General features: G+C 51.4%; 1 protein-coding gene across 2 annotated transcripts in view, besides 6 other annotated features; it reads left to right on the top strand.

Moving 5' to 3' along the window:
• Positions 1 to 14,372, top strand: part of GNG7 (G protein subunit gamma 7) — a 191,476-nt gene that overhangs the window by 111,397 nt on the left and 65,707 nt on the right. The window lies entirely within an intron of this gene.
• Positions 3,054 to 3,997: an enhancer, noted in NCBI's record as "H3K27ac-H3K4me1 hESC enhancer chr19:2587299-2588242 (GRCh37/hg19 assembly coordinates)". NCBI's record gives its function as "activates a minimal SCP1, AML or CMV promoter by ChIP-STARR-seq in primed H9 embryonic stem cells {active_cell/tissue: H9 hESC(primed)}" and the evidence as "EXISTENCE:reporter gene assay evidence [ECO:0000049][PMID:30033119]".
• Positions 11,593 to 11,887: an enhancer, noted in NCBI's record as "tiled region #4130; HepG2 Activating DNase unmatched - State 1:Tss". NCBI's record gives its function as "activates a minimal TATA promoter and a strong SV40 promoter by Sharpr-MPRA in HepG2 cells {active_cell/tissue: HepG2}" and the evidence as "EXISTENCE:reporter gene assay evidence [ECO:0000049][PMID:27701403]".
• Positions 11,593 to 11,887: a silencer, noted in NCBI's record as "tiled region #4130; K562 Repressive DNase matched - State 4:PromP". NCBI's record gives its function as "weakly represses a minimal TATA promoter and a strong SV40 promoter by Sharpr-MPRA in K562 cells {active_cell/tissue: K562}" and the evidence as "EXISTENCE:reporter gene assay evidence [ECO:0000049][PMID:27701403]".
• Positions 11,725 to 11,774: an enhancer, noted in NCBI's record as "active region_13704". NCBI's record gives its function as "activates an Ori minimal core promoter by ATAC-STARR-seq in GM12878 lymphoblastoid cells {active_cell/tissue: GM12878}" and the evidence as "EXISTENCE:reporter gene assay evidence [ECO:0000049][PMID:35858748]".
• Positions 14,186 to 14,330: an enhancer, noted in NCBI's record as "145 bp enhancer 50 fragment used in the MPRA reporter construct; PK_construct_2231". NCBI's record gives its function as "activates an SV40 promoter by MPRA in HepG2 cells {active_cell/tissue: HepG2}" and the evidence as "EXISTENCE:reporter gene assay evidence [ECO:0000049][PMID:23512712]".
• Positions 14,251 to 14,264: a transcriptional cis regulatory region, noted in NCBI's record as "HNF4 motif; enhancer activity is reduced when this motif is scrambled". NCBI's record gives its function as "necessary for full MPRA enhancer 50 activity {active_cell/tissue: HepG2}" and the evidence as "EXISTENCE:site-directed mutagenesis evidence [ECO:0005528][PMID:23512712]".

Raw genomic sequence — 14,372 nt, 5'->3', positions numbered from 1 at the left:
ATTGGCAAGTAGGAGTATGCCTGACAAATCTCATAAGAAACAGCAAGGAGGGATGATTATTCTTCCACATCATCGGTTGACACAGCCTTCCAGCGTGGAACGGCTTGTTTGCAAGCCAAACCTACCGCGCAAGAGGTTCTTCTTGTTCTCTGTGAGGTGCTGAGTTGCTAGGTTACTGAGAGCATCAGGAATCCAAGGAACAACATACTTATATCGTGCTCAACTTTGAAAAATAAAGTAGATATTAACATTTTAAAATGAGTAAGAATAATATTTATTGCACCAGGATTTGCAAATATTGAATTCTAGTTGCAATTCTACCATTTCTAGTATGTATGTATGTGGATGGATGGATGGATGAGTAAATGGATGGTTGGATGGATGGATGAATGGATGGATAAATGGATGGATGGGTGGATGGATGGATGGGTGAATGGATGGGTGGGTGGATGGATGAGTGGATGGATGGATAGTTGGTTGGGTGGGCGGATGGGTGGATGGTTGGTTGGGTGGATGGATGGATGGTTGGTTGGTTGGTTAGGTGGGTGGATGGGTGGGTGGATGGATGGATGGATGGATGGATGAATGGGTGGATGGATGGATGGATGAATGGATGGGTGGATGGATGAATGAATGGGTGAATGGATAGGTGGGTGGACGGATGGATGGATGAATGGATAGATGGATGGATGGGTGGGTGGGTGGGTGGATGGATGGATGAATGGGTGAATGGATGAGTGGGCGGATGGATGGATGGTTGGTTGGGTGGGTGGATGGGTGGGTGGATGGATGGATGGATGGATGGATGGATGAACAGATGGGTGGATGAATGGATAGATGAGTGAATGGATGGGTGGATGGATGAATAGATATAGAGACATAGATATAGACGACAGCTTTATCAAGATATAATTCACACAATTCTACCATTTCTAAGCCTCAGTTTTATCTATAAGATATGGAAAATTGTTATGTGCCCGATAGAGAAAAAAGGAAGACTGACCCATTTTCTTTACCTGTTCTATTTTTTGCCTTACCTCTTATAGTTTTGTTTTTTAATGGTACTTTTAAAAACTGATTCATTTGAAAAATCCACCTGGATAAGAGGCCCAACCTCTTGATAATGTTGTTACCTATAGTTTATTTCCTAACAGCTTTATTGAGATAAAATTATATGCTATAAAGGCCAGGCACAGTGACTCACACACCTCTAATCCCAGCACTTTGGGAGGCCGAGGCAGGTGGATCACTTGAGGTCAGGAGTTCGAGACCAGCCTGGCCAACAGGGTGAAACCCTGTCTCTACTAAAAATACAAAAATTAGCTGAGTACGGCAGTGCATGTCTGTAATTCAAGCTACTCGGGAGGCTGAGGTAGAAGAATCGCTTGAACCCGGGAGGTGGAGGTTGCAGTGAGCTGAGATCATGTCACTGTACTCCAGCCTGGGCGACAGAGCGAGACTGGCCTGTTCTGAACATTTCATGTCAATGGGATCACACACTGTGTGGCCTTTTGTCTGGCTTCTCTCACTGAGTGTGATTTTTCGGAGTTCATCCACGTTGTAGTGCGTATGCAGTGAGGTTTTAAATGCTCCTGGACTTAGTACAACCCCCTACGCGCAGGGCCTAAAAGAGCTAAATCAAGGCATCATTTCCTTACTGCTGCCATCATCTGACATGGGAGGAGGGGACCAGAGTCAAACAGCGGAGGTGGGAATGACACAGGAAGATCCAGAGACACGTGGAAGACTCCGAGAGCTGCAAGAAATGACATCTGGGAGGCCAGGCATGGTGGCTCATGCCTGTGATCTCAGCACTTAGGGAGGCCAAGGCGGACGGATCACTTGAGGTCAGGAGTTCAAGACCAGCCTGTTCAACATGGCAAAACACCATCTCTGCTATTTAAAAAAAAAAAAAAAAAAAAAAAAGTGCACCTGTAGTCCCAGCTACCTGGGAGGCTGAGGCAGGAGAATCACTTGAACCCAGGAGGCGGAGGTTACAGTGAGCTGATATCGCGCCACTGCACTCCAGCCTGGGCCACGGAGGGAGACTCCATCTTAGAAGAAAGAGACGGCCGGGCGTGGTGGCTCATGCCTGGAATCCCAGCACTTTGGGAGGCTGAGGCAGGCGGATCACCTGAGGTTGGGAGTTCGAGACCAGCCTGACCAAGGTGGAGAAACCCCATCTCTACTAAAAATACAAAATTAGCCAGGTGTGGTGGCTCATGCCTGTAATCCCAGCTACTTGGGAGGCTGAGGCAGGAGAATCGCTTGAACCTGGAAGGGGGAGGTTGTGGTGAGCCAAGATCGCGCCATTACACTCCAGCCTGGGTCACAGAGGGAGACTCCATCTTAAAGAAGAGAAAGGAGACCTGGGAGTCAGCTGGCACCAGGGCCAGCAAGGGACGGCTGATGTCACACCTGAGCACCTGGGAAGAGAGGTGCCACCACGAAGACAAAGCAAGGGAGTCGGGGAGGAAAAGAAGCCAGTTTCCCCAGAAAGATGACCACCTGGTGGGGTCTGCGGTGTGATCAGCAAGCCTGGGTTTGCTGGGTCTGAGGACTTGGAGCCACTCCAACCAGGACAACCCTGGGTAACCCAGCTGGGGTTGGTCACCCTGAGTCTGGAGTTCCCACGGAACGGGCCAAGGTTAGATGCGTCAGCAGGCGGTTTGAAATGAAGGTCAGAGGAGGATGGCTAAGAAATACGGCCCCTGACTGACGGGAGAAAGTTCCACGGGGCCCGCGTCCAGCTGCCGCCGCCCTGGGCTCCTGCTTTTTTCCCAGCCGGGGGAACGGGCCCTTTGACCGCCCTGCCCGGCCCTGTGCGATTCACCAGCTGTTGACTTTTAAAAGAAAAACAAACCTCATGACGTGCGTTAAGGTCTGTTTACTACCTGTCGCTTTGCAGAGAGCCGCGTCGTGCTGGTTTATCTCATTGTGACTTTTTAATCTGATGTCTTTCGGGTTGTCCTCAGGGAGCTGATTAGGATGTAAAGGCCAGTTGCAATTCAGCCGGACTCTCCCAGTGCACAAACAACATTGTCACCAGTCCCCGGCCACCCTCTCACGCCCCCACCAAGCTTAGGAAAATAGTTTGTGCTCAAGGGACTTGCTAGGTTTCTAAGCAGCCTGTGAAGTGCCGTATTTCTGCTGCACAAATTGTACCCGGGGACCTTTTACACCACAACAGGCCGTTTGCAAATAGAGAGATGGTTTTTCTTCTCTTGCTCCAATCTGGATGCTTTTCATTTCCTTTTCATGCCCAGTTGCCCTGGCTTGAATTTGCAATAACAATACTGAATAGAAACAGTGAGAGTGGCCACCCTTATCTTGTTCCTGTTCTTTCTTTCTTTTTCTTTTCTTTCCTTCCTTCCTTCTCTCTCTCTCTCCTTCTTTTCTTTTCTTTCCTTCCTTCCTTCCTTCCTTCCTTCCTTCTCTCTTTCTCTCTCTTTTCTTGAGATGAGAGTCTTGCTGTGTCGCCCAGGCTGGAGTGCAGTGGCACGATCTTGGCTCACCGCAACCTCTGCCTCCCAGGTTCAAGTGATTCTCCTGCCTCAGCCTGCCAGGTAGCTCCTGGAGGCTGAGACAGCGTCCCCCTCCCTTCCATGCTTCCACGGTCGGTGTGATGCTGCCTCGAGTTACAGCTTTTTGTGAACTGCATGAGGCCCGGGTGACTCAGCAGCCCAGGCCTGCCTCCCCTTTGAAGCCCGTTTGTGGCCGTTACAAGGTGGCCGCCTGCGTACCGACCCCCGAGCTGACGCCGGCTGTTGTCCTCACCGGCCAGAGCCTCTGCCATCCCAGGCGCTAGATCTCACAGCTCCTTTGGGTCCCAGGAACTTTCCCAGCCCCTTGCAGTTGCATCTCAGCAGCTGTGATTCTCATCAGAAGACATTGTGCCCGGGGAGCCCTCTGCCCTTCCGCCCAGGACCTGAGAACGTGGGTGAGCTTCCCCGGCAGAGGAAGCAACGCAGGGTACGCAGGTGAGGTCGGAGGGACAGGAGAGACCCCTGGGTCTGCACCTGGGAATGCTTCGGTCCAGGCAGAGACCCTAGAGCCAGATGCTCAGGGACGATCTGGTGATTGTGTGCAGGTCACTTCCTCCTGGTGTCTTCTTGCCGCCGCAACTCTCCGTGGTGAAACCTCCAACCCAGGGGTCCTAACCTGCGGCTGATCCTAGCCCCTGGGGGACATCGGGTGACGTCTGGGGCCAAAAATTAGCCGGATGTGGTGTTGCGTGGTAGTGGATGCCAGGATTCTCCACTGTCATTATGATTTCAAGGTGACATTCTTTTTTTTTTTTTTTTTTTTTTTTTGAGATGGAGTCCCGCTCTGTCACCCAGGCTGGAGTGCGGTGGCACAATCTCTGCTCACTGCAACCTCTGCCTCCCCGGCTCAAGCGATTCTCCTGCCTCAGCCTCCCGAGTAGCTGGGACTACAGGCACGTGACACCACACCCGGCTAATTTTTGTATTTTTAGTAGAGACAGGGTTTCACCATTTTGGCCAGGCTGGTTTCAAACTCCTGACCTCAAATAATCCGCCCACCTCAGCCTCCCAAAGTGCTGGGATTACAGGCGTGAGCCACTGCACCCGGCCAAGGTGACATTCTACTGGATCTACACACGATATTCACTGTGAGTTCCCATTGAGGGATGCTTGCGTGCGTGTGTGTAAATTCTACCTTCTTTTTCATTTGAGCCCTTGGCTGTCAAATGTCAGGGCTGGGATTTGCCCTCATTTCCAGAGTGTGTGAGTGTCCTTCCCTCCCCATCCTTCCCTTTCAGCCTCAGCTGAGCTCTTGGGGGACCGAGGTCACCAGCAGCTTGTCTGGGCCCGCTGGCTCCCAGCCCCCCAAGCCAGACGCGCCATCCCAGATTCCCCATTTGCGGCCCTCGCTTTGAATTTATGGGCCTGCTGAGCGGAATGGGAAACTCATCAGGGAGTGTGAAAGTCACTCTAGAAGGTGGGAATGCCAGCAGCCACCAGCCCCCAGCACCTGCACCAACAAGGGGTCTTGCCACACAGCTTGGGCTGGGGCGGGCAAAGCTGGAGGGTGGGGCAGTGGAAGGTGGGAGCTCTTGATCCTCCCCGATCTCACCCCATCAAGACGGCTGCAAGACTGTGCTGAGCCAGCCCCGGTTCCACAAGTCTACAAAGGGGGTGAGAGTTCCGTTTTTCATCATCAAAATCGTACAACTTTATGTTTACAAAAGTAACACTGGCTTGTTGCTGAAAAAATATTTCAGAAAACTCACAAAGATTTAAAGAAAAAGGGATACTGAAAAATCAATACATTTTGGCCGGGGCACGGCGGTTCACGCCTGTAATCCCAGCACTTTGGGAGGCCGAGGCGGGTGGATCACGAGGTCAAGAGAGTGAGACCATCCTGGCCAACATGGTGAAACCCCGTCTCTACTAAAAATACAAAAAAATAGCCGGGCGTGGTGGCGGGTGCCTGTAATCCCAGCTACTCGGGAGGCTGAGGCAGGAGAATGGCGTGAACCCGGGAGGCGGAGGTTACAGTGAGCCGAGATCGCGCCACTGCACTCCAGCCTGGGAAACAGGGCAAGCCTCTGTCTCAAAAAAAAAATTACTGAATTTTACACTTTATGAGGGTGAATTTTATGGTATATGAATGATGTCTCCATTTTGTTTTTAAAAGGAAAAGTTCCCCTGGTAATCCCAATCTGGAGATGAAGACTGTTAAAATCTCTTCCAGGCTGCCTGTTTCTAACTGGCTGTTTTCAATATACTTTTGAACTTACGGAGAAGTTGCAAGAATAGCCGCAGGCACTTCGTATACTCTTTATACTCAAATATGCCAACTGTTTACACTTGCCTTGCCCTATTTTTTCTTTTATTATTCTCTCACTCCATCGTTCACCGTGTGTGTGTATACACATTTATGTGTGTCTATGTATTTATGTATAAATTGCAGGTGGATATGTATGTATATATCTATATATACGCAGAAAGATAGTTACTTATATGGCATATATGCTAGATATATTATTATGCAGTTATGTATACACAGAATTATATGTATGTAATTGTGCATGTATGCATATTAATTTATTTCCAGTCATTTGAAATTAAGTTGGAGACATCATGCCCCATTAACCCTAAAGATCTTGGTGGATATTTTCTAAGAACAAGGCCCTTCCTTCCTTCATTCCTACCTTCTTTCCTTCCTTCCTTCCTTCTTTTCTTCCCTCCCTCCATCCCTCCCTCCCTCCTTCCTTCCTTCCTTCCCTCCCTCCCTCCGTCCCTCCCTCCCTCCTTCCTTCTTTCCTTCCTTCCTTCCCTCCCTCCCTCCATCCCTCCCTCCCTCCTTCCTTCTTTCCTTCCTTCCCTCCCTCCCTCCCTCCTTCCTTCCTTCCTTCTTTCCTTCCTTCCTTCCCTCCCTCCCTCCCTCTATCCCTCCCTCCCTCCCTCCCTCCTTCCTTCCTTCTTTCCTTCCTTCCCTCCCTCCCTCCGTCCCTCCCTCCCTCCTTCCTTCTTTCCTTCCTTCTTTCCCTCCCTCCCTCCATCCCTCCCTCCCTCCATCCGTCCCTCCCTCCTTCCTTCCTTCTTTCCTTCCTTCCTTACTTCCCTCCCTCCCTCTATCCCTCCCTCCCTCCTTCCTTCCTTCTTTCCTTCCTTCCCTCCCTCCCTCCCTCCTTCCTTCCTTCCTTCCTCCTTCCTTCCCTCTCTCTCTCTTTTTAAGGCAGGGTCTGCCCTGTCGCCCAGGCTGGAGTGCAGTGTTGCAATCATGCCTCACTGCAGCCTTGACCTCTTGGGCTCAAGTGATCCTCCCTCCTCAGCCTCCCAAGTAGCTGGGACACATCACCATGCCTGGCTAATTTTTTTATTTTTTGAGACAAGGTCTTGCCTGTCACCTAGGCTGGAGTACAGTGATGCAATCACAGCTCACTGCAGCCTCAAACTTCTGGGCTCTAGCAATCCTCCCACCTCAGTCTCCCAAGTAGCTGGAACTACAGTCACGTGCCATCGCTTTTTTTTTTTTTTTTTAATTCTTTGCGGAGATAGGGTCTCCCTATGTTGCCCTGGCTGGTCTTGAGCTCCTGACCTTAAACCATCCTCCCACCTCAGCCTCCCGAAGTGGTAGGATTATAGGCATGAACCACTGGCACCCAGCCAAGCTGGCTCTGTGTCCTTCTGATACGTTGCCATAATTCTTTGAGTTTCCTTACTTTCTGGCCCAAAAAGATGCTCCAGAAATATAATATTTTTTTCTGCCTCAGTCCTGGAGCCAACCTCTTCTCCAACCCATCCTGGTGACTTTTAGTTCTTCCAAACATGTACTGTTAAAAAATATGCACCACACCCACACATGTATGGACTTTTCTGAATAATCATAGAATCACACTATTGATACTGTTCTTTAATCTGTTTTTTTTAATTTAGCAATATATTATGGGAATCTTTCCACATTATCAAATATGGATTTGCGACATCCTTTTTAGTGAATGTTAAGTGTTTTATCTTTTGGTTGTACCACAGATTACTGAACTAATCTCCTAAATTAAATAGGAGTGCAGTGCCACCATCAGGGCTCACTGTAGCCTGGGACTCTTGGGCTCAAGGGAGGCATCTAAGTTGTTTATTATTTCTTTACTTTTATCCATAATAATTCTTCAGGTAAAGTGCTTGCATATGCACCTCTGCACAATCCTATTTATGGGCCTGCTGAGCGGAATGGGAAACTCATCAGGAAGTGTGAAAGTCACTCTAGAAGGTGGGAATGCCAGCAGCCACCAGCCCCCAGCACCTGCACCAACAAGGGGTCTTGCCACACAGCTTGGGCTGGGGCGGGCAAAGCTGGAGGGTGGGGCAGTCGAAGGTGAGAGCTCTTGGTCCTCCCCAACCTCACCCCATGAAGACGGCTGCAAGACTGTGCTGAGCCAGCCCGGGTTCCACAGTCTACAAAGGGGGTGAGAGGTCCATTTTTAATCATCAAAATAGTACAACTTTATGTTTACAAAAGTAACACTGGCTTGTTGCTAAAAAATTTTTTCAGAAAACACACAAAGGTTTAAAGAAAAATATCCTTAGGACAGTTTTCCAGAGGGAGATTTGCTTTCAAGAACAGTTATTCCAATGTCCTCCACCCACTGTCTGCTAGTCCATGATTTATCACAACTTGACCATCCCTGGATATTATCTATTTAAAAAAAAAATACTTGCCAGTTAGACCAGGTGTAGTGGCTCATGCCTGTAATCTCATTACTTTGGGAGGCTGAGGCAGGAGGATTGCTTAAGCCCAAGAGTTTGAGACCAACCTGGGCAACATAGCAAGACCCCATCTCTACAAAAATATTTAACAATTTGGCTGGGCACAGTGGCTCACGCCTATAATCCCAGCACTTTGGGAGGCTGAGGTGGGCAGATCACCTGAGGTCAAGAGATCGAGACCATCCTGGCCAACATGGTGAAACCCCATCTCTACTAAAAATACAAAAAATAGCTGGGCATGGTGGCTTGCACCTGCAGTCCTAGCTACTCGGGAAGCTGAGGCAGGAGAATCGCTTGAACGTGGTAGGTGGAGGTTGCAGTGAGCCAAGATCAAGTTACTGCACTCCAGCCTGGGTGACAGAGCGAGACTCTGTCTCAAAAAAAAAAAAAAAAAAAAAAAAAAAAAATTAACAATTAGCCAGCCATGGTGGCATGCACCTGTAGTCCCAGCTACTTGGAAGGTGGAGCTAGGTGGATCTCTTGAGCCCAGGAAGTCCAAGCTGCAGTGAGGCACAATTGTACCACTACACTCCAGCCTGGGCAACAGAGCAAGACCCTGTCTCAAAAAAAAAAATTGTCATTTAAAGGCTAAAAGTAACAGCTCATTGTATGATCTATAATCTTTTTTATTACTGGAGAGCTTGAAAGTTTTCATAATGAACATTTATAATGCTTTTTGTGGATTATGTTCACTTTTAACAATTTTATTTTTTACATTTTGAGATAATATGTGAATTATAGAAGAGGTGCAAAAATAGTACAGAGTGTTCCCTTACACCTTTCATCCAGCTTCCCATTGGCTGATATCTTCCATAACTACAGAACATTTATCACCACTAAAAAAATCAACCTTGCTGCAATATTAAGTATAGGGCTGATTCAAATTTCATCCTTTTTTCCATTTCCACGTGCTTTTGTGTTCCATGATCTGATCCAGGATCCCACATTTATTAAGCTGGTTTGTTCACTTTTATTGATTTTTTGGAGATCTTTATATATTAAGGACCTCAACTTTTTGTCTCTCGTCCCTTTGGCAAAGTATTTCCATTTTGCTTTTTCACTTTGGTGATGACTTCAAGAGATGGGTGGTAGGTGACATAGGATGATGCTGGCACCCTGGCTTAAAGTGAGGGTTATAGGGCACAGGCTGCATGCCAAACCCTCCACAAAATGTTCTCACCTCCCTGTCCCCTCCCAGACATTCTCTGTTTCTCTAACACAAATTGAGCAACTGGCCACTTGTCACCTTGTGAAACCTTGATATTTTATTCCACAAAGTTGTGCCTATCTTGAGTAGAGCCTACACCTTAGACCATAACACGGTTCATGCGTTGTTTCAACACCTGTTGGGTGATGCAGAGTGAATGGGGCCTGGCCAGGCATCTTGTTGAGGAACATGTCACAGTGTCCTCACCCTCAAGAAGGGGAGGTGTCCCATCCCTGCAGGGTGGGGTGAAAACACGTGCAGAAGTGGGCATTGGGAGTGCAGCCAGGAGCTTGGCTGCAGGCGTCCTGGCTGCAGACACAGCTTTGCTGCTGTGTTTGGTAAACAACACCAGGGACCAGGGAGGGGGCCCCCACATCCCACCCCACAGCCTCAGACCTGTTCTCACCCCCCTGTGGTTTGGGAACTCAGTATCTCTGCTGACCCCTCCTGGGCAATTTGCAAGTGAAGGAATTGACTGCTGGTGCTCCAGGCCACCCGAGAGACACCCTCCGCCCCCCACCCCCCCACCCCCATCACCCCTCCACCCCCGCGGCCCCCCCCATCAGTCTGTCACCCAGGCCTCTGGGCACTTTTAGACAAACTCTGTTGGGGGAGGGGAGAGGAGGAAGCAGAGATTAATCACTTTCAGGCTGGGCCTGCGGCGAAGGCACTTCTAGTGAGGGACATCATAGTGCATTTTCCCACAGCGTTCATGGAAGTCTTTCTTGAGGCCTGATATGAGGGGAAGACGAGGGAAGAAGACACCAGTCTCTGCCTCAACAACCAGGCAGAGGCCGGGCGCAGTGGCCCACGCCTGTAATCCCAACACTCTGGGAGGCTGAGGCGGGTGGAGCATCTAGGATCGGGAGTTCAAGACCATCCTGGCCAACATGGTGAAACCCTGTCTCTACTAAAAATACAAAAATTAGCCGGGCGTGGTGGTGCACACCTGTAATCCCAGCTACTCGGGAGGCTGAGGCAGGAGAATCGCTTGAACCTGGGAGGGGGAGGTTGCAGTGAGCCGTGATTGCACCACTGCACTCCAGCCTGGGAGACAGACTAAGACTCTGTCTCAAAAAAAAAAATGTAAAAATTAACTGGGCTTGGTGGCACCTGTAGTCCCAGCTACTTGGGAGGCTGAGTGGGGACGATCCCTTGAGGCCAAGAGTTTGAGGCTGCAGTGAGCTGTGATTGCACCACTGCACTCCAGCCTGGGTAACAGCAAGACCTTGTCTCTAAAATAAAATAAAACAGAACCAGGCACAGAGCTGGGCACGGTGGTTCATGCCTGCAATCCCAGCACTTTGGGAGGTCAAGGCAGGTGGATCCCCTGAGGTCAGGAGTTCGAGACCAGCCTGGCTAACATGGCAAAACCTCGTCTCTACTAAAAATACAAAAATTAGCCGGACATGGTGGAGTGCACCTGTAGTCCCAGCTACTTGGGAGGCCAAGGCAGGAGAATCTCTTGAAACCAGGAGGCGGAGGTTGCAGTGAGCCGAGATCACACCACTGCACTCCAGCCTGGGCAACAGAGTGAGACTCAGCCTCAAAAAAAAAAAAAAAAAAAAAATAGAACCAGACAGAGAGCAGCAGGGCTGCGTCCTATCCCTGCCCCTTAGACAGAGAGGCATGAAGGGGTGAGCAGGCCAGGCCGGGACCAATGTCGGGGGCCAGGACTGGGACTGGTAGGGTTGGCAGGGCTCACTCAGCTGCGTGTATGGGCCCTGACCCCTGGGCACACCTGCATTCCCCTGCCCTGGGAGTTGCTCCAGTGTTTATTGAGTGGGTCCTCTGGGATGGCACTGGGGGGGTGCAATGGTTTTTTTTAAAGTCCTAGTGGATTCTGGCCAGGTGTCCGAGGAGGACACAAGCTGAGAGACACCTGCGCCCCCAGAACTGGAGGAGGCAGAAAGCGTTCTCCCCTGGAACCTCTGGAGGGAGCACAGGCTTGCAGACCCCATGATTTTGGACTTCTGGCCTCCAGAACTGGGAGAGGATCCATGTCTGTGGTTTTAAGACCCCCTCCCAGTCCCCCATTTGTGGCACTTTCTTACGGCAGCCCCAGGACACCCATCCACAGAGTTCCTGGGAAATGGGGATGTCAGGCCCGTCGTCTGCACGTTTGGCAACCAGAAAAGCCCCTGTCCGTGGGGGTGCGTCCCCTGCTCCCCGCATTTCTGCCAAAGCCCCTTCCGTCGGCAGCTTGTCCTTGCATGTCCCCGAGGAAGGTGACCAGCAGGCGGAGCTGCTGCCCAGCGGCGGCCGTCCCCTCGCCCTCCTCCCTCCTCTTGTTACCATAAACACTTGGAGACCTCAGAGGAAAACGCTCAAGGATTCCCAGCCTCCAGGGCTGTGTGCCGAGGGCTTCAGAGGCTCGCATGGGGAGCGCCCTTTCCTGCACCCGCCCTGTTGACTCTGCTATCTTCCCGGTCGCCCGGCTTCCCGGGGCAGCCTGATGGCCAGGGCGCAGGTCTGGGTGGGTGCCAGGTGCCTGCCCTCCTGCCCGCCCGCCCTGGCCACCCTGAGCTGCAGGACACAGAGACCCGGACGGGAGCCAGCCGTGCTGGGCGTGGCCTGGACTCTGGGTTACGCTGGGGCAGTGAAATTTCAAAACAAACTTAGCCACATGGTCCGAGTCAGGTGTGTCCGGGTGACCCCTGTGCAGACCTTGGCGTCTGGACCTGCCCGGCCGGGGGCACCCATCCCGCAGATGCTGAGGCGGAGCCCCAAATCACGGGACCCTCTGCTGCAGGCACCGGCGGGGCGGGCTGCCAGGGCCGGAGACGAGCCATGTGCATTCTTGGGATGTTTTTTCGTTTAACCGTCTCTCCCTCTCCCAGCCATTTCCTGGCCTCTCGCAGACAAGCGACAGACAAGCAGGTCTGGCGCCGGGCCACGCTGGTGGTTTTCCATGCCGGGGTCAGTCTGGGATCCACATCCCCACAGCTCGGCCCCTGGGGGGCCGGGAGCCAGGGGTTTGAGGCCCCGATCCACCCCTTCCCAGCTCTGTGACCTTAAAATCCTTTAGCATCGGTTTCCCTACTTGTGCATGTTAACATTTGGAAGCTGATGATTCTTGGTCTCGGGGTGTTGGGGGGCTTCCTGGCAGGGAGTGGGTGGAGACCAGAGACGCTGCTCAGCACCCTGCAGTGCCCAGGACGGCCCCACCCCAGAGAGAAGGATCCAGCCCCAATGTCCACAGGGCTGAGGGGGAGAGGTCCTGCTGAAAAGCTGCAAACAGGTGCTTTTCTGCCCAGCTTCTCCGGCCTGGTTAGCGATGAAACCTGTGGCTGCCAGCCATTGAGCCCAGCCCCTGGGCGGGCGTTGCTCGTGAATTCCTTAGGCCCTGCAGGACGGGCAGTCTCTTGCTTGTGGCTGGAGCACCGTTTTCTGTTGATTTATTTATATTCTGCCTCATTCCACAAAGGATCGGAGCAAGCATTCAGGAAGAGATTCTATCAAATACAAAACTGCAAATAGCTTCCTAACATAGTAGAGAACAGGGCGAGTCAGGAGTTGGCACTAGGCTGCCCTCGGTCCTCTGGGTCCCGTATTGGGTTCTCCGAGGGCCCCCGGCTCTAACGGGGGATTTGTCCCAGCTCTGCCTACGCTACCTGTGTCTCAGCAGATCTCTGAGCCTCAAAGCCCTCAGAGACCCTCAAAGCCCCTAAGAATCAGCACCCTCTATGATGTCATAATGCTGAATAAGACAAGCACGTAGCCGGGCGCGGTGGCTCACGCCTGTAATCTCAGCACTTTGGGAGGCCAAGGTGGGAGGATCACTTGAGCCCAAGAGTTCAAGACCAGCCTGGGCAACAACGAGACCTCCGTCTCTACAAAAAAATAAAAGAATTAGCCGGGCGTGGTGGTGCACACCTGTGGTCCCAGCTACTCGAGGGGCTGAGGTGGGAGGATCTGGAGCCTGGGAGGTTGAGGCTGCAGTGAGCTGTGATTGCGCCATTGCATTCCAGCCTGGGTGACAGCAAGACTTCATCTCAAAAAAAAAAAAAAAGGAAAATAACACCATAACATTTTATATAGGGATGTTCTACATTTTCTTTTTAGATTTATTTCTCAATATAAATATGTAGCAAATGCTTACATGCATATATAATATGTAAAATATTACGCTGATTTTTTTTTTTTTTTTTTTTTTGAGATGGAATCTTGCTCTGTCACCCAGGCTGGAGTGCAGTGGCGTGATCTCGGCTCACTGCAACCTCCGCCTCCTGGCTTAAAGCAATTTTCCTGCCTCAGCCTCCCAAAGTGCTAGGATTACAGGCGTGAGCCACCACGCCCACCCAGAAGACTCTAGCTTAGCAGAGTTGTGGGAAGACACTCCCCTGCTGGTTCCTGGTGTGAAGAAGTGAGCGGTGCATTGCGAGAAGGCCCGAGGAGGGTCTGATAGCTAGGACCCAAGGGTGGCCCATAGGAGCTGGGAGTGTCCCCCAGGCAACAGCCAGCAAGGAAACAGGGACCCCGGTCCTACAACCACAGGGAGGCAAATGGTGCCAACAGCCTGAGGGAATGCTGGATGAAGAGCCTTCCCCGGGCGAGCCTTGGATGAGACGCAGCCCCAACCAACACCCAGACTGCAGCCCTGGGGGTACCCTGAACAGAGGCCCTGGCTTGGCTGTTCCCGGACTCCTGACCCCACAAACCGTGACGTACTAAGTGGATGTGTGTTGGAAGGCGCCACATGGATGGCAATTGGTTACGCAACACAGAGACTGAGCTCACTGCCCCACAGCCCCAGCTTGCGAGGTGGACCTTGTCCTGACCCTGCCAACAGGAATACAAAGACTTACTGGAACTTTGCACACGGGACAGCCCTGGTGACTCACGTAGCGTGAATGACTTAAGAGCAAATTCAGGCCGGGCACAGAGGCCCACGCCTGTAATCCCGGCACTTTGGGAGGCTGAGGTGGGAG

The sequence above is a fragment of the Homo sapiens genome, chromosome 19 (assembly GCF_000001405.40).
Source record: "Homo sapiens chromosome 19, GRCh38.p14 Primary Assembly".
Taxonomy (NCBI): domain Eukaryota; kingdom Metazoa; phylum Chordata; class Mammalia; order Primates; family Hominidae; genus Homo; species Homo sapiens.
This window is presented reverse-complemented; position numbering and strand designations above follow the sequence as displayed.